This window comes from Homo sapiens, chromosome 5, assembly GCF_000001405.40.
Source record: "Homo sapiens chromosome 5, GRCh38.p14 Primary Assembly".
NCBI lineage: Eukaryota > Metazoa > Chordata > Mammalia > Primates > Hominidae > Homo > Homo sapiens.
In genome coordinates, this window is record NC_000005.10 from 10,987,585 (window position 1) to 11,007,065 (window position 19,481).

General features: G+C 45.3%; 1 protein-coding gene across 12 annotated transcripts in view, besides 2 other annotated features; it reads right to left on the reverse strand.

The window, feature by feature from the left end:
• The window catches only part of CTNND2 (catenin delta 2), a 932,611-nt gene that overhangs the window by 15,749 nt on the left and 897,381 nt on the right, over positions 1-19,481 (reverse strand). For all 12 annotated transcript variants that reach the window (NR_109988.2, XM_017009074.2, XM_017009072.2 and 9 more), the window contains 2 exons: positions 4,967-5,093; positions 527-658 (listed from right to left, as the gene is read on the reverse strand). Coding sequence is in view for 11 of the 12 variants with exons in the window: in XM_017009074.2 (XP_016864563.1) it covers positions 527-658; positions 4,967-5,093 (259 nt within the window). In the remaining variant the exon portion in view is untranslated. The remainder of the gene's footprint in view (positions 1-526; positions 659-4,966; positions 5,094-19,481) is intronic.
• Positions 13-514: an enhancer, noted in NCBI's record as "H3K4me1 hESC enhancer chr5:10987709-10988210 (GRCh37/hg19 assembly coordinates)". NCBI's record gives its function as "activates a minimal SCP1, AML or CMV promoter by ChIP-STARR-seq in primed H9 embryonic stem cells {active_cell/tissue: H9 hESC(primed)}" and the evidence as "EXISTENCE:reporter gene assay evidence [ECO:0000049][PMID:30033119]".
• Positions 723-772: an enhancer, noted in NCBI's record as "active region_22384". NCBI's record gives its function as "activates an Ori minimal core promoter by ATAC-STARR-seq in GM12878 lymphoblastoid cells {active_cell/tissue: GM12878}" and the evidence as "EXISTENCE:reporter gene assay evidence [ECO:0000049][PMID:35858748]".

The window sequence follows — 19,481 nt, forward strand, 5'->3', positions numbered from 1 at the left end:
CAACAGCAGTTTCATGCAGTTCCCCTTAAATCCTCCTCCTGCCCTCCTCTTTCCATTCCCCGTCCCTCCCCTCCCCACTCCCCTCTCCTCCCCTCCCCACTCTATTCCCCTCCCCACCTCCCCTCCCCTCCCCTCCCCTTCCACCTTCTTTTCAGTTCCCTCCATTCCTAATGCACAGGGCCTAACTACACTGCCTCCATCGAGTCCCCTCCCCAGTGGGTGATGTCAATGAGGAAGAAATATGTGGGAATATTCTCTCTAATTTGAAAGAATATTATGAGCTGGGCAAACAAGAGGAAAGGACCGATAAAACATGGGTAGAAAACATTTTATCTTAGTTATGCCTCTATTCTTAGTCCCAATTCTTGGAAATCATCATTATCAAGCTCTCAAGTGACTGGACAGCTGCTAAGTCCTGCTCAGCAGCCAAGCGCAGCCAGCCCCGTGAAGCCTGATGTCCCATATCTCTGCCTTGTCGCGGGTCAAGCCACCAAGTTCCAGGAGGGGGCGCGCGAGGGGCGCTCACCTGTCATGGCATCTTTCCTGGAAGTGTGTTCGCCTTTAGCTCCGTGGTAGGTGGCGTTGCTGCCGGTGCACTCGTAGTCTGTTTTCCTTTCTTTGAGGCTGATCATTTCCCGAGGTGAAGCTGGGGCACTTGCTACATAAAGAAATCAAAAGGGGGATTTTCTGCATCTCATCCCACAGCGTGTGTGCCTTCCACACAGTCAGGGTCCTCACTATGCATGGTCCCGCATCTCAATGCCTACGTGAGGACCTGATGGGTTTTCTTTTTAATTTTTATTTTTTGGCAGTTTTGGCTCTTGTCCCTGCCCCATTCCCTCACCTGTGACAACTGATGCTTTATAGTTAGAGGGCATGTGATTTGGAGGCTGGCAACTGGGGACCACATCCTGGGGCCATCTTCCTCAGAGAGAGATCATGGAGGGGACGTGACCTGCCCAAGGTGTGTGGGGCAGTTTAGGAATGAGACTGCTTTTGGTTTCTTCCTTTCTCTTCTCTTTTCCTTCCCTTTCCTTCCCGTGCTCCCTTCCTTAATTAGATGTGTTTCAGAAGATCTATTACTGATATTGACTAATCCTTGATTAAAATAAATGCAGTTTTACTTAAACACTGAGTCACCTAGAAACTGCCTTTAAAAAAGTCAGAGGAAACAGCTCTCTACACAGGATGATTTGTGGGGCAAAAATAACCAAGCCCACAAAGACCTTCTTTGTCTGTGGCTGGGGTGGGCTGGGGAGGGGCATGGAGGCAGCTCTAGTTCCTGCTAGGGCATTCTTGCTCCAGCTTTTTGCATAAACACCCCAATAATCTCTGAGGCCCTCCTTACACCTCAGCCACTCACTGCCTGTCTGGCTGGGAGGCTGAGCCCTGCCGTTCCTCTTACACCCATTTCTAAAGTGCTGGGTTGTAATTGGAGGATCCTCCTGGGAAATTCCAGGAGTCCTTAAAAAACTGGTACTAGAAGAGAGGAAAAGCTGAACTCAGAGGCAAGGAAGTCAGTAAAAGGAGGTTGAATTTTCATGAGTGACTGAATGGATTGGCAGCAACTCAACCTTCCTGCCAGTGCAGAGGGGCACTGGGAGAGGTTGGCAGGAGCCATGCGTCTGGGTGAGGGGGCAGCTGGTCGCGCACCCCACCCTGTGGGCACCTGCAGCTGTGTCCAGCTCCGCAGGAGCTCAGGTGCCGTGTCCTTCTGTCAGGAAGCTCTCCCCAGCTCCCATAGCCCAGGGCAGTGCTTCAGAGCCTTGTTTACCCTCAACACTCACTTGAGAATTTATGGATGCCCAGAGCCCATCCTGGACCTTTTGAGTCTGAATTTTCAGTGACGGGCTTCAGAATCCATATTTACTGAGCATACTTGGTGACTATTAAGGCTAGGAATCCCTAGAGCACTCTGATTTTTAGGATAAATCTCTCTTTCCTTTGCTAGTGTCAAAGCTCCTCCCCAGCCAAACTTCAGTTTACCTTCGAGCTTATCATTCACACCCTCTGTAGGGTCTCTTTGCTCCTTGGGTCTGTGGTCCCCCAAGGCACCTCTCATGTCACTGAGTCATGTGATTCAGTTTGTCACCCTTATATCTTCTATGTACAAATTCCTGTGCTAGCCACTGTGCAAGGCAGACATGCAGATCACGTGGCTCTTCCTGAACTTGTGCAGCTCTCAATCGAGTAAGGAAATGGATGTCCAAATAAAGTAGAATGAGAGGCAGAAGTGCCCAACAGACGTTACAGCCAAGTGCTGGGAAGATAAACATGGGTTGTTGCCACCCTCTCAAACCTATCAAAATAAAATCACGCCTCAATGCTCAGCTCTTGAAGCCATCACGGGTTTTGGATCCTGGATGCCTATTAGAATTCATTACCTGGAATCCTTTAAAAAAAATACTGAGGCTTGAACCCCACCCAATGCCAGCTGGCCAGAAGTCCTGGGTACAAATGCAATGGCAGACAGGGAAGAAAACCATGCAGCTCAGACAGCTGCAGCACCTTCATCACTTGTAGGACAAGCCTGGAGCTGCAATGACTTGATCAAGGACTGAACCTCCCTGATCCACAGTGACCCTGTGTAGGTGGAGAGAATGCCCAGGCTCTGCTGTGAGGGAAGAGAGGTTCCAGGGGAGAGGACAAAGGCTGGGACTTGGGCCATCTCTGTCCCGAATGTGAATCTGGGGAGATGTGAGGGGCAGCCACTGTGTCGTATGAAGATTGGGGTTCTGTTGCTTGGAGAGGGAACCTCTGCAAGAACAACTGAGTCCTTAGCAAGCTCTGTGCCCTGTCACTCAACTGGGCTCTGCATCCAGTTCCTGTCTGCTCGCTGGTTCCTCGCTAACCTCTTCCACCTGCTGCCCCCTTCTCTTTGGTTCACCATCTTTCTCTTCCAGGAAAGTCTCTCTTCCTGCCTTTGCCCTTTTGCCTCTGGGTCTTCCCTAATAAAGGTTAGCCTTTTATGAGTTACTGCCACATAATCATGAAGGGACAATATTTTAAAACCTGTTGACCACAGCTTTTAAAATTAGAATCCAATATTGCCCAGATGGTGGTGTTTATTAAACCACATCAAGTGTGTAATTATCTCCTGAGACCTCACACACAGCGGTGCTCCAAGTCTCTGGTAAATCAGGATTAAGTTCTGGGAAAAATCAAATCACGCAAACAAGTGTTTATTAGGTGTCTGGATGTGCCTCGCCTAGGAAGTCCTGAGGCAGCGCACTGTCTGCATGGCTGGTTGAACACAGCCCTGCCTGCTCGCGAGAAAAGGCTGCTTCTCTCTTCCAGCCCTTGCCGATCCATCATGTCGTTTCATTCTCATAACACTGATTGGCTCACTGTAATTCTTAATAATCACTGCTTTCCAAAAGACACCATCCATATGCTTTCCACACTCCATGCGCTTTATCTTTTTAAGCCTGCTGGAATTACAGAAATAAGAGGCCTAAGAGGCCACCTCCATGCTTCTGAGATGGGTGGACGTTTCCACAGGTACAGGGGGTTCCTGATCGTCACCCAGGGTTGGACTAAATGTGATAAGCAATGACAGTACACTAGAAGGATCAGCTTTCACAGAGCTGGGAGCGGGCCATTTATTTCAGTCAGATATTGGCCATTCATTTCTCATCATGTTGACAGTAAAGTCTGGCGTGGAGTTCTGCAACCATCATTCTCGCGGGTAGGGAGACCACTTTGCTGGGCAATGCTCTCTACCAGGTCCTCCCAGGTGTCATTTCAGAGAATAGGATTTCCTCAGCAGGGAGAGGGCAGAGAAGAGTAGGAAGAAAGCTTTCATAAATAAGAGCCTACATAGCTGTCATCTGTGTGGGTGCATATAACTTGTTATCCATCTTTCACTCTCAGAACAAAATCAAAATGCAGAAATCAAAATAAAAGTTTTAAAAACTAAACTGTGAGGAAAACAGCAAATTTATGCCATTTATATTACTAAATGGTGTGTTCACATTTGCCTTTCATCTTTCCTCTGATTTTTGGCATTTCTTAATGTGAATTAAAAAGGGTATAAAAATCAAGTATTTTTACGAATACAAGAAGTTCAAAATTTAAGCAATAGGAATGTGACAAAATTAGAAAAAAATTAAATGGAATGACATGGAAGTTATAGTTGGCTACGATAATAATTTATCAGTGGCATCTGCCGGTTTATCATTAATAATGAAAAGCCAATTAGATGTGGAACAGTTATGAAAGCATCAGTGCTATGTGTCAAATGTATATCACACTGAAGGAAGAAAGCACATTTGGTCTCCTCAACTTTTTATCCCAATTATGACAAAATGCAACTCAAACTATTTTTATTTTATTTATTTATTTATTTATTGAGACGGAGTCTCACTCTGTCACCCAGGCTGGGGTGCAGTGGCGCGATCTCTGCTCACTGAAATCTCGGCCTCCCGGGTTCAAGTGATTCTCCTGCCTCAGCCTCCCGAGTAGCTGGGATTACAGGCGTGTGCCAACAAGCCCGGCTAATTTTTGTATTTTTACTAGAGACGGGGTTTCACCATGTTGCCCAGGATGGTTTCGAACTCCCGAGCTCAGGCAATCCGCCTGCCTCAGCCTCTTAACATGCTGGGATTACAGGCATGAGCCACCTCGCCAGGCCAACTCAAACTATTTTAAGTTGGAAAAATTGTCCACGGAAACCCCGGATTTGCAGACACATGACAGTTTTCTTTATACTCGTTCCTCCTGAATTCAGGTTCATTACGTGCATGTCATGCATAAGAACCTGTTAGAGAAGGAGATTTGCTCTGAGTCTGTGTATACAAAACACAGAGTGGCCACCACAGTACAAAGAACAGATTCATTTCCTACTTCTAGCGAAGGTCTGAATGGAAGGCTCTCCTCTGAGTACGGGTTGGCTCACGGACTGGGAAGGACCGTCTTTGCTCAACGAGAAATAAAGCCTGGCTGGCTAGCCACGGCAGCCTCTTACCTGAGCGGTTGTTGGGAGACACGCGCACAGGGGAGATGGAGGGCGTGCGGGAGGAGGAGTAGGGCCTTTGCCGGTCCCTCTCGATGGTTGAAGACGAGGCTACAAAGTGGTATTGTGACCATCCATCCTGCAAAACACAGCACGCTCCTGTTAGATGGGCAAGACAGAGTGATTTTTCACCTCCGGACATTTTTAAGTTCCAAGTATCTGGATTTGCATAATATTTCTATGGTGTGTCAGAAGAGGTTCTTGAAGTTCTGCGCTCTCATGGAGGTGAACAGAGCCAAATGTGAATGAAGACACACCTCCTTCCCTCCAGAGAGCCTGGCGGGTAGGGCCTGCTTTCCTTCATGAATGTTGAATAAATGGTCCCTTTACAAACCCGCTCTGGTCAGAAGCTTCGACTTCGATGAAAATACGATGCTCAGAATGTTAGGGGACCCGGAAACTGTCTATTTTTTGCCGACCTGGTTCCAGCTCTGCCTGGCTCCCTCTTCCGCTGCCTCAAGATTTTCCACAAGGGTTTACCCCTTTGCTCCCAGGACCTATCTGTTGGCAACCAGAATCCAGGGCAGCGTCCTCCCTTCCCGTTTACCTGCCTGTGTCCTTTCCAGCCCCAAATGCCCACCCTCGCCTGTCTCCAAGCTGGTCTGCTCCAGGAATGATATTTTTCAATATAGAGCATATTCAAAATGCATCCTACCAAGCCTCCGTTAGGCTTCTGACATCTAGTTAATATACAGAAAGCATCTATACTATTTTTCCTTATAAAAACCGCATAAATATATCACAGATTATTTTGTGAATTTACAAAGCATAAAGAAGAAAATAAAAATAGGTGGTAATTCCACCCTCTCCACCTGAGAGAACTCCTGTTAACCTGTCATGGTATTTCCTTCCAGTCTTTTTTTCTTTTTTAAATAGATTTTATTTTTATCAAAGTAACATGTTAAATAGTACTAACATTATAGCAAAGAAAAGCAGTCACCTGCTCCACCCCCAAATCCTCCTTTACAGAGGCCATTGCTTTCAATTCTTTTAGATTTTTTATTTTTTTCCCCTGACAACATTTAGACTTTTAAGGGGCTCAATGCTTTGTTCTCTTGGGATTGTTCAGAGAATCTTGCCACACAGTTAGCACCTAGTAAGTAAGCTGGGTAATATCTTTTAAAATCATGCACCTCTCATTCTGGCTTTATCCTATCAGTCAAGTAGAACAGGAATAACGAGAATTAGATACACAAAGATTAGTCTTGGTGTATCTAATAAGAATTAGGAACATGGAAATGAGTATGCATTTTGTTCTTTATTAATTCATCTATTTATGTTTTCAATGATTTTTGATAGAGTTTTGAGCCCCTTAAAAGTCTAAATATTATCAGAAAAAAAAGCTAAAGAATTGAAAACAAGTGCCAATGTAAAGTGGGAACAGGGGCTGGGACAGTGCCTGCTTTCCTTTGCTATAATGTCAGTAATATTGGACATATTACTCTAATGGAAATAAAACCAAACTAATGGATACCATTATCTGCATTCTACAGGAAGAATTTGAGCCTTCGAAAGTAAATAGGCCACCCAAAGTCAAACAATACACAAGTTACAAAAAACATATTAATACTAACGTGGCATTCTAACAAGTGCTTGGAAGGAAAAACCAAGCCGGATTAGGGGATAGACGAGCAGGGGCGGGGATAGAGGAGCGGGGTGGGGGGAGATGGAGGAGCTGGGACGGGGATGGAGGAGCGGGGGCGGGGACGGAGGAAGGGGGCGGGGATGGAGGAGCGGGGGCCGGGGAAGGAGGAGGGGGGCGGGGAAGGAGGAAGGGGCCGGGGAAAGAGGAGGGGGGCGGGGAACGAGGAACGGGGCGGGGAAGGAGGAAAGGGGTGGGGAAAGAGGAGCGGGGGCCGGGAAGGAGGAAGGGGGGCGGGGAAGGAGGGGCGGGGTGGGTATAGAAAAGTAGGGGTGAGGATGCTGGCATCTCTATTTTGTGGAGTGGGGTCAGGGAGGTGCTGTCGGGAGCCTTAACGTTGCAGAAGGACCTGCAGATGACAATTGAACCAGACCCTGGTGACACAGATCTTGGCTTCCCAGCCCACAGAAGAACAGATGTGAAGGCCCTGGGTGGGAACGGCTTCGCTGGTGTGAGAACAGGCTCCTGGGACTGAATAGGCGTGAGCAGGGGGCCAGGAAGACAGGAAAGCTCTGGGTGTCCAGGACAGTTTGGGGAGGAGTAGCCACAGCAAAGCTGCTTGGGAGGTCACTCCCCTGGACAGAGGAGAGATGGCCCAGGCTTGAAGGGTGCTGGTGGTGGGAAGCGTGCAGATCTGGTATCCACACTGGAGGGTTTGCTGGTGGCATGGCTATTGGTGTGGGAAAGAGGAATCAAGCCTTACCGCAGTGCTTCTGGTGTGAACCACAGGGGCCTGAGGTCCCCTTCACTGAGCCAGGAACAATGGGAGGGAGGGAAGCAGCTTTAGGGAGTGGAACTAGGACTGCCTCATGGGGACGTATATGGTTACCGAAGAGGGACAGAGAAGGAAGCAGGATCTGCAAACTGGGATCTCAGGGCTGGAGGCAGAATTTTGGACGTCAGCATATAGATATTATTTAAAGCAAAGAGAATGGATGCAAACCTGTAAGCGAATGCAAATAAAGAAAAGCAGAAGGCAGAGGCTGAGTCAGCCTGAGGACATTCCAATATTGAGAGGGGTGCAAAGAGTAGGGGAAGCTTCAAAGGAGACCAAGAAGGAACCCAGTGAACTACAGGAAGCATCAGGAGGGTGTGACTGTGGCATCAGGCAAGACCAAAGGAGCAATGCGTGAGGAGGAGAAGGAGACCAACCGAATACCGAGGAGGACCAAGAGCTGCCTGGTGGTCTGGGAGGAAGGAAGTCCTCGTGACGGGGACAAAAGTGCTTTCTTTGGTCAGGTTGGTAAATGTCTAACTCCAGCGGTCCCAAAAGATAATGAGAATTGGTGAAGGGGAGACAGTGAGTACAGACAAGCCTTTGGCAAAGTTTTATTTTAAACGGAAATGGAGAAATGGGCTTGAAGAGAGTGAGGGCTGGAGAGATGTTTTCATAGATCACCTAGAAGATATTGCAGTATTTCGTGTGCTGATGGGAATGACTGAATGCAGAGAAGGAAAAACCTGGGGACATAGGAGAGAAAGGGAAAAATGGCAGGAAGAACATTCTCAAGACAGGAAAGGTGGATAAGATTAAGTGAGCAATGGGGTCACTGCCCACAGAAACAGACTGTGGCCATGGACATGGGGAAGAGACTGGTAGATGGGGTGACAGGAAGATAAGGATATTCACTCTTGATTTTTTTGTTTTTTGCATTTTCTTATGGAAAATGAGAAGAAGTGAGGTCATCTGCTGAGAATAAGGAAGGGTTGGAGCTTAGAGAACAGAGAGAAGAGAGAAAGGGAAGGGAGGAAGGAAGGGGACGGGGATGTGGAGTGGTCCTTGAGTTGGGTGGGGAGCGAGCTGACTGGCCAGGGCAAGTGGCCGGGGTGCCGGACAGGGCTGGAGGCTGTGGCAATGAACCAAAAAGGAGCTGACTGGTCAGCATCCGTGTGTGCCTCTCTCCAGCCACAGTCAGCTGCCCTAGGGCAGGTGTGGAGTGGGTAGAGTTGATGGGTCATCAGGCAACTTGGAGAGAGACAAGGGAACGTCACGGAAGCTAAGCCCAGTAGGGAGGAAAATGTAGGTGCTAGAGACGATATGGAGAGTGTATATTGATCAGGGTACTGGTGGGCTTATGAGGGCCACAGGCTGTTGGGAGGATACTTCACAGGTGCTGGGGGTTTTCTTGAGGGAGGGGAGCGGAGATCCTTCTCAAAAGAGCAATGAGGAGGGGGCAAGAAAGACGACTGCTCCAAGAAGGACGTCTGTTCCACCTCCAGGGTGGGACACAAGGGAGGGAGGGTGGGTGGGAAATTAAACAGCCCTCGAGGAGGGGGCTCGGGGGGCTGTGTCCTCAGGGCCGACAGGAGATGAGCAGAAGAGGTTTGCGAAACGGACACAGGGGATTTTGCTGATTTATTTATTTATTTTTCTTTTGAGACAGAGTCTCGCTCTGTCACCAGGCTGGAGTGCAATGGCGTGATCTTGGCTCGCTGCAAACTCCACCTCCTGGGTTCAAGCAATTCTCGTGCCTCAGCCTCCCAAATATCTGGGATTACAGGCATGCACCACCACACCCAGCTAATTTTTATATTTTTAGTAGAGACGGAGTTTCACCATGTTGGCCAGGATGGTCTTGATCTCCTGACCTCTTGATCCGCCTGCCTCAGCCTCCCAAAGTGTTGGGATTACAGGTGTGAGCCACTGTGCCCGGCCAATTTTGCTGATTTTTAACCACAGGTTAAAGAGGGAAAAGAAATGGGAGGTGGACAGAAGACAGGTGGAATATATGGGGGATAACTGGCTGCTCAGAGCCTTTGATCGAGGGGTCCAAGTAATGATGGTCGTCCCAGGAGGCTTGGGTGATTGTGACAGCTGAGGTGATGAGAGATGAAGGGTGTAAGTTACAAATAAATGCCTCCTTAGGGAAGGGTGGGGGTGGTAGGTAGGTATCACGGCAGGAGAAAATGTCTCCACTGGAGTTCTGTGGGGTTCTCTGAAATCCTCCGGAGGGTGGAGGCAAACACAGAGGAGGAGCAGTCTTACCAAAAACACGTTCAGGATGGAAGATATTTCAACAATGTATGTGTCCATTACTTATGTATGGGAACGATTAAAAACATTTTTTTTAGGCCAGGAGCGGTGGCTCACGCCTGTAATCCCAGCACTTTGGGAGGCCGAGGCGGGCAGATCACGAGGTCAAGAGATCAAGACCATTCTGGCCAACATGGTGAAACCCCGTCTTTACCAAAAATACAAAAATTAGCTGGGCGTGGCAGTGCGTGCCTGTAATCCTAGCTACTCGGGAGGCTGAGGCAGGAGAATCACTTGAAGCTGGGAGGCGGAGATTGCAGTGAGCTGAGATCACACCACTGCACTCCAGCCTGGCAACAGAGCTAGACTCCATCTTAAAAAAAAAAAAAAAAAATTTAAATCCCTGTCTTTTGAAGGAAATGCTTTGTAGAGGGCAGAAGTCCTAAATATGACTGAATGGGGACAGATCATTTTATGTTTGTCTCATTGCAATGTAGAAGGTGTGCTTTGGGATTCCAAGTAGTGGCTCGGGACAGTCGTTTAGTCAAAACCTTGGCTTCTTTGGCTATGAATGTGATGATATTCTGTGTGGTATTAAAGGTGAACAAGGTACTTTACAATGTGAATATTGGCTAAATATTTATTATGTTCTAAGACCTAAGGACACACTAGACCTAAATGTGGCACAGCTGTAGGACTGGTTTCACTTGGTGAGACATCAGTAGGTTTGTTAGCATTGCTCTCTTATGCAGGTGATTGGAGATATGTGTTGCTCAGCAACTCAGATTTCATGATGTTTAGACTATACTGCAACCATTTAAGTATTTACATTTCTGGAAATGTCAGAAAACTGAGTGTAATAACAAAATTGCTTACAAAGGAACTCCTATATGGATGCACTCAAAAAATTTTCAAATCCTTCATAAAATCAAATATGGAAAATGCAAATGCCTGGCAGAAGTGTGGTCCTGCAGGTAACTTGTCTGTATGTGATTGGGTTAGTATACAACTGAGGGTGATGACAGCGGAGTGTGGTGGGAGAAACGGAGAAGCAATCCCTGACTCAGACCCTCTGAGGATGGCCAGGGACTGCATGCCTGTGGGTATAGGCACTTTGAATGGAGGGGAGAAGGGAGCTTAAGGAATGGGGCAGAGTAAACACCCAATAAATATCTTCGTTAGAGCTGTTTCCTGACCCACAGCTCAGAAGCCCCAGGAGGAACAGAATACCTTCTACACTGCAATGAGACAAACATAAAATTTGTGTGCTGTGAGAAGAGGTGATCTTCTCCATCTCCCCTCTCTCATTCATCGATGCAGAGTGAAGGCTACAGTGACTAAACTGCACAACTTCAACACTGCTATGCTCAACAATGCCCAGAAAGGACTTTAAAACTTTAGTTCCGATGCCACATACAGTTGGCCCTCTGTATCTGTGGGTTCCACATCCATGGATTTCACCAACCTAGGGTGGAAAATATTCCAAAACATATTGTCTGTACTGAACATGTACATGTTGTTTTTTCTTGTCATCCTTCCCTAAACAATGCAATTATTTTCATAGCACATTGTATTAACATTACATATTATAATTAATCTAGAAATGATTTAAAGTTTACAGGAAAATGTGCGTAGGTTATATGCAAATACTGCACCATTTTATTAATACAGCCGGGACTTGAGCATCTACAAATTCTGGTATCCTTGGGAAGTCCTGTAACCAATTTCCCACAGATATAGAGGAGCAGCTGCCAAATGTCATGGAAACTCATGGAACACTAGATGCTAGAGGCTAGGGTGCAGCTGGCCCATGGCATAGATCAATCACCACTCATTACAAACACCTTGAGCACAAATCTCATGGCCTTCCTCATCTTTTATTGTATAAAATCTTTAGTCATTCAATTAAAATAATGTTTCACTTTTTAAATAAGAAGGGAAAGTTATTGCTAAGCTGACATTCCTTCTATTCCACTAGCCATGTATATTTTTGTTATCTAGCCAGCTAGCAATCAATCTATTATTCATTTGCTTCCCACTGTCACTCAGAATGGCTTGGAGGTGGTTCACATAAATATATACAACTCGGGCACATATCATTTCAATCATTATTTGCCTCTTTAATCACTGTATTTTCTTGTTAAAATATCAACTTATTGTAGGCCAGAGACTTCTTTTGTGAATTCTGTTATATTGGGCATTTTACCTTAGCTCTTCTTTGCACCACCTGTACAGCTCATAGGGGTTAGATAAGAAAGCCCAGGGAAGAAGCAGGGAGAGTGAAGAATCACCACGGTAACCGGGGAAGGGCCATGAATCCTTCCTATTGATGATAAAGAACTCTTTTACTATCTGTCGTTCACCTTCAACAGACTGACCCACAAGTTGTGCCCTTCAGCTGAAGACGCAGCTAAGCTGTCAAAAATGTGATATGATATCTGTGCCTCAAATTGGTTTTTATTTTTAACACATTACACTTAAAACTGGAGGTTGTTAAATTGTTCCAAGTATATAGAGATAGAAATCCAAAAAAGAAGATGAGTTCAAAGTCACTGAACTTTAAATTGCCACCAGGAACAATCTGATGTTCTTTATCTTACACCCTTTAGCTGTCCCTCCACCACTTTCAGCCTCTGTGCTCAAGTTTTCAATGTGTTTCTTATGAAACTTTATTATTCCCCAAAGCTACAATCGTCCATACGGGCATTTCCAATGTGCACGACAATCGGGCGATGTTCATCCCCACAGCCCCACTACCATCGGTCTTCACGGTATTTCTAGGACGTGGTCAGTCTGTTTAGTTGATACAGGTCTTCTTTTTATGGATTTCGACGGCCCTGAATCTATAACACTCTCCATTTTATATTTCTGAACATCCTGTAAACATCGCCAAGAAGAATGTATTAGTAGAGAGACTTCTACTAACAGTTTGAATGAGGGGACTAAGTAGCTTTCATTCGGACTGGTCTACAGGAGGTTAGGACAACACACACTTGAGCCACAGCTTCTTATTCTAGAAATTGTGTGGCTGAGCGCAGTGGCTCACGCCTGTAATCCCAGCACTTTGGGAGGCCGAGGCGGGCAGATCATGAGGTCAGGAGTTTGAGACCAGCCTGACCAACAGGGTGAAACCCCGTCTCTACTAAAAACACAAAAATTAGCTGGGCGTCGTGGTGGGTGCCTGTAATCCCAGCTACTCGGGAGGCTGAGGCAGGAGAATCGCTTGAAACCGTAAGGCAGAGGTTGCAGTGAGCCGAGATTGTGCCACTGCACTCCAGCCTGGGTGAAAGAATGAAACTCTGTCTCAAGAAAGAAAAAAATGTGCACGACATTCAGTTCAGATGAGCACAGGAGTTTGTTAGCTTTGTATGCAGGGGATGAGCTAGAACTGTCTGGCAAGGCTCAAAACTATTCTCATGAATATCTTTTCACTACTTGGCTTGCTAACCCTGGGTGTCTCAGCAGATAGAGAGGTGGAATTAGAGAGCTGTCAGGAGTTGGCCCTTCTCTCACAATTACTGGTAAGCTCCATCTCAGCTTCTTTTCCACACATTAAGGGCAATGTGACTCATCAGGCTGGGGAGTTTTAAAAATAGTAATGCCTGGGCCCCAGCCCTGAGGTTCTCTTTAGGTTATTCCGGGTAGGGCCTGGGTATCCTTATTTTCAAAAGCTCCACTCCTCCCCCAAATGGATGCTAATGAACAGCCAGGGCTGTGAACCATTGGCTTGGGGTTTCTTTGCATAGGTGTCAGTGACAAGTTGGGGCACATTTTTTAAAGTGCTAAATCCCAGGAGGCCCTTCAGTCTCCATTCCCAAGGTTGACTTCTATAGTAACAAAACAGGTCAAAATCTCAGGCCAGAGAGGTGCCACACACACTGAGCCCCAATCACACCTGATCACCCAGCATGCACTGCTTATGAGACTCAATTTCAAACATCCCCACCTTTGATCAGGCAGCTCTATGACATAGCAGGGCACCTTGTCTTTTTCTACCTGTTAAATCTTATCCTGCTTGGTTCTGTATTAGGCAAACAGGAGGCAGGTAATGCATGTTCATTCAATTACTATTGCCAAATAAATTATGCCACCCTGGTTTGGGGGGAGTTTTCAGTAATGCAACCAGTTTTCTTTCCATGATAGTAATAAAATGCTTTTACATCACAATACAGACTTTAGCAATGCAGGCTGTCTCCCTAGCTGTGAGGCAGCAAGGGTGCCTCATTTATTTCTGAAGCCGTGGTATCTAGCATAGTACCTGGAACACAGAGGTGCCTAATCAATGCTAGCTGGAGTCAATGATTTAAGATGACAGTATTAATTATTGTAAAATGAAATGATAATCAATTTCACAGGTTTTATAGCTAGCATCCACGGTTCTTACACTCTATTCTATAAGAAATAAATACATTCAGAGCCTTAGAACCTTTTTCTTTTAATTGTAGCTCAGAGTAACCTCATCAGAATCATCTTCTGCTGTTGGTAGATCTGTCTTTTATGACATACTCGCAACTGTGCTAAAGGTAGTGTTAGCTTAGGTAAAATAGTACCTAACAACAATCACAAGAAAAGTGGCCTTTGGCTTGCCTGCTCTATTTTAAATGGTAATTCCTCTCCACTGACCATGTTTCAGTGTGAGTACATACAATTGCCTCCTCTTTAACCGGTCTGGAAAATAATTTTGAAGCATCATTATCTCTGCCACCTCTGGCCCCTGGGTGGGTGCTGACTCAGTTGGAGCACACAGCTTGTCCCTCCACCTCCAGTGCTTCTTGCCCCATGGAGCTCAGAAGAAGATACAGGTACCTGCCCATGGCAAATGCATTCAGTTCCCCACAAACACAGATCCATAGGGGAATCAGGAAACAGGATAAAAGGGGAGAGTATATTACCTTTCTCATTAGCTATGCCCCAATTCCTTTTAGGGCTGGGTACAGCAGTCCACACCTGCTTCCAGAATGTGCCTACTAAACTGAAGGGGTTGGTTTCTGGATGGGTCACCTTGTGGGAATATTACTGGGTAGGGAACAGTGATGACCAGTGGTGCTCCAGAAAACATGCAGAGCATGTCAATAAGAGAGTGGAGAGAATTTAGATGTGGTGGAATGAGAATGACCCATGTGTTCTGAGGCTCCCGCCTCCCTCTATGAAGGGACATCCTGCCATTTTGAGTTGAGCAGGTGAGAGCACCCTACTTCTGCTGAATCACAGAAAGGATGGAGAAGGATACTCCTTGATGGAGGAGGAGGAAAGGGGATTAGGGAGAGAAGTTGGCTCATTCCATGTAATAGAGTTTAGAGAGAAGGTGGGAGGGGAGAGTGAATATTTCAAGGGCTGCTCAAATGAAGGTTGAGTGGATTTGGTGATTATGGGGAGAGAAAACAGGCTAAATACCAAATCCTCATTAAGGTGTTTCAACAGATGAGATTTAGCAGAAAATGGAATTTTGAGTTACGTGCATGGTGGCTTCTGACCCTGCTCCTGGAAGACAACTTTTAGAAACTTGACCCTGATGGGGTGGAGGGTGACCCAGTGAATAGCCACAGCTGTGATGATATGGTCAATGTTGATGTTTCTATTGATAATTTTGTTTCCAAAGAGAGTTTTGGAAACTTTGTCTTCTATCCTTAGAAGTTAGATTCATCAACTATTTTCTTATAAGAGACTTCTCTGACCCAGGAGCTTCAAGAAATAATTAACTTTGAAAATGAACAATGCTTGTTTATTTCTACTGGGGATATTAATTGGAACCCAAAATAATGACTAGGACACTGTTGGCCTATGTATGGCCTTTTTCTACCTGTTTTTTAAAAAGTTCTGGAAGTTTTTTAATGTAGCAAGATTTGGCCTCTAAGCGAGGATTCCTCAGTGGCCATACACAGACTATTTGGTACTGAAGTCACAAACACAAGCTTTTCACCTTAGCTGTCCTTGAAGGCTCTACAGCCCACAAAGCTTGTCAAGTCTAATTTTTTTTTTAAGTGACTTGAGATATAAAGAAAAGTGTGGCAAAAATCTGTTGGGCTTTTAGTAACCCAAGCTCACCCATGCACCAGCCTGTAACACTCAGGGCTTAGTACTTACATTCACAAGCAAGACTACTTCGCTGGGGACCTATTTTTCAGATGAAAGTCAAAACAGAAATCATTGCCTTAGGTAACCAGCTAAGACATTAATGCTCACGTATCAGAAGCCTGATTGTTCAAAATTGTACCAGTTTTCCAGTCATTTTTGAGTGGAAGAAACCTATTAATGTAATCACATTAAGCAGAGAATGAAAATATTTCAAATTAGTGGCATTTACACATACACTTCCTTCTTATTTCAAGAAAAGGTATTAAATACAATAAACTGAAGGTAGAATATTCTGATGCACAGTCTGTGTGACTAAAGACCAAGCCAGATTTTGCTTAACTACAAAACCTTCTGCTCCTCTCTGCTGTAATAAAACAAGCTCCCATCTATTTTTAAGGTAAACTGTTTGTTAAAGATTCATTAAAACTAATTCCATCAACAATTCCAAGAGCTATTAGAGTTAAATATTTAAACTAAATTTTAAGGGCCAAAAGGGAGTATTTGCAGTTTAATGTACAAATAAATACCACCTGACATACCAGTTGCTGTCATTAGTTTGTTTCAGCTCTGTTGCTTCTAATGAAATTTAATTAAATTGATTTGGATACTTAAAGGTACAGTACGTATAAGCATAAGGATCTTGTGCAACACCATCTTTTAAAAGCAAATACTGTGTAAATCTGTTTTAGGAATTCAATTTACTGCTACTGGGCTAATTCTAAAGAACCAGTGTAACCAAGAAGATTTGAAAAGTTGGAAAAAATGTATATGATTTAGTAGAAGAAAGTATACCATTGTTAACCGCTAGGAGTTAATAGGTACCAATGGAATGCAAAAAACCAAAACAAACAAAGAAACGAAAACACCTGGGAAATTGAAATAAGACCATATCAGTCCTCTTACCTCCCTGGCTTTGCTTTTGAGGCCTTAAAACAAAGATCTGACTTGGATGAGCTTTAACAATGTCCTCTGTGTTTCAATTAGTACTGCAAAGTTAAGTTCAGGATAAAACTGAACAGTCCAGTCTTCAGATTTAGGAATACAAATGTCTAGCTTCTAATATGTCATTTGAGCATTTGAACAGTCAGCTATTTTACATATACACTCATCACTGGGGAACAAATTCGATGTTTACGCTGGGTCTCAACTTCAAGTTCTCTATATTCCAGTCTCCTTCAAAATGCTTCTGACAGGCCGGGCGCAGTGGCTAATGCCTGGAATCCCAGCACTTTGAGAGGCCGAGGTGGGTGGATCACCTGAGATCGGGAGTTTGAGATCAGCCTCAGCAACATGGAGAAACCCTGTCTCTACTAAAAGTACAAAATTAGCTGGGCATGGTGGCACGTGCCTATAATCTCAGCTACTTGGGAGGCTGAGGCAGGAGAATTGCTTGAACTGTTTCGTTTTTGCAGAGGTTGCAGTAAGCTGAGATCATGCCATTACACTCCAGCCTGGGCAACAAGAGTGAAACTCCTTCTCACAAAAAAAAAAAAAAAAAAAAGAAAAATGCTAATGACAATGTGAATGGAAGCAGAGTCACTGAACATGCCCTCTGCTAGGCTTACACTCTGGGGTAGCTACACTGGTGCTTTTATTCAATAAAAATTAGTAAGTAGCTAGCACCATGCTGAGCACAGGGCAAGAAAAGAGAGACTGGCATGGTTGTTGAGGGGAAGATGAAGGAGAAACAGGTGTTCAGACATGATCACATCAATAGCCAGGCTGTAAGAGCCATGAAGGAAAAGTACAGGTTATTGGGAAGGACTGCTATTAGCCTTAGAGAGCTGGGGAAAGTCAGGAAGTTTTTCTGGAGGGTGTTATAGTTACACTGGGGCAGCAATAACCAGGATTGGAGGCAGAGAAGGGGAGGCATTCCTGGGGGAGGAATTGACCTGTGCCCAGGCAATGCCAAGGCTCTGAGGTGGAAACTGCTTTGTACCTGCAGAGGAAGAGCAAGGGGAAGCAAGAACAGCGTGGCTGAGGCAAAGCGATCGCAGGCAGGGTGGACGGAAGTCAGCGCAGGGAGGTGAGCAGGACTTTGTGAGAAAATGGAAGGTACTGAAGAGTTTTAATCAGGAGAATGGCCAGGTCAGATCGGGATTTTTAAAAGTATATTCTGAATGCTTAATGGAAAATAGACTGAAGATGGTAACGTTGATTCCAGAAAACCAATTAGGCAGTAATATTGTACCAGGACCAGGGACAGATGATGATGGAAGTAAGGATGGGAGACATAGTTGGGTATGGGAGATATTTAGGAAATATATCATCAGGGTTTGTGAAAAATAGAGTGGAGATAAGAAAGAAGGAAGTATTAGTTGGATAACTCTCAGATTTCTGAAAAGAACAACAAGGTGGGTTGGGTGCTATTTACTGAGATGGGCAACCACGGAAGAAGAATAGATTTAGGGAATATACTGAGAGCTAAGCACTGGATGTATGGACAGTTACAGCTGATGAGCCATCTAAGTGCAGATGTCATGTGGGTAGTTGTATGGATGGGTTTAGTGTTAAACAGTGAAGACCAGATAGAGAAATAAATGTGGATACAAACTAGTCTTCAAATGCATTTAAAAACCATGGGAGCAGGGTGCAGCAAACCACCATGGCATCTGTATACCTATGTAACAAACCTGCATGTTCTGCACATGTATCCCAGAACTCAAAGTATAATTAAAAAACAATTGTCTTAAGATGGTAGTGGTTTGTGAAGGGATCTTGCCTATATGCTGTGAAGTTCTCATGAGACAGGTTCTATTAAAAAAAACAACAACAAAAAAACCATGGGAGCAGATGAGATCATCTACATTAGCAGGTATAGGGTCCCAAACAAGGATGTTGCAGGGAAGACCAGGACCAGGGTATTGGCAAAAAAGACTGAGAAGGGGCGCTTTCCCACATAGAGAAAAATAAGAATAGTGACAAAGCAGCCAGGGAGGAGGCTGTTTAACAGAGAAAGATGTGTCAGGGCCTCCCCAGTCCATGCCCTTTTCTTCCTGGATGCCCATCTAGACCACATGTCCCAGCCTCTCCTTGTGGCAGCCTTTCACACCCACGTGATGGAGATCTAGCCAATGGAGGTGAGGCAGTGGGCATGTGTGTTGCCAGGTATAGCTGCGGCCCTTACGGCGTGCCAGAGCCACAGATGGAAGGAGGAGTCTGGGTCCCGAGTGCCCACATGGAGAAGAGCTGACCCATCTACTTGAACACCTGTCCAGGATGACTACAGGAGCAAGAAAATAAACTTTCGTGTAGTTGGATCATTAGATGTTTAGGTCTGCGTGTTACAGTGGGGAGCCCTCCCTAAGTCACACAGGCAATGAGACTCGTTGGATGCTCCAGTTAGGAGCCCTTTCCGTGGAGGCATGAGGACTGACTGCTAGGGGTTGATGAGCACAACAGAATGTAAGAAAGGCACCATGAATGAACTCCAACCTTCCTAGAAACCTCATTGTGAAGGCTGGACCATGGGAGAGCAGAAAGTGAGAAGGCAGAAGATGGAGAAGGATGGGGAGAGGACATTTCTCAAACATCGTAAGATAGAAGCACGAAGAGCATATGTATCTCTAGGGGAAGAATGACCAGAGGGAGAGGATGAAGAAACAGGAGGAGGAAAATGGACAATGTCAGGAGAAAACGACTTAACAAGAGGCCTGGACCATAAATAGGGAATAAATATATATTTCTATTTTAAAATAGAACCCAATAAAAGTAAGCACAAAGTGAAACAATCAAGAAAAAATTGCTAAAACGCATGCCACTGTGTAACTGGGGAA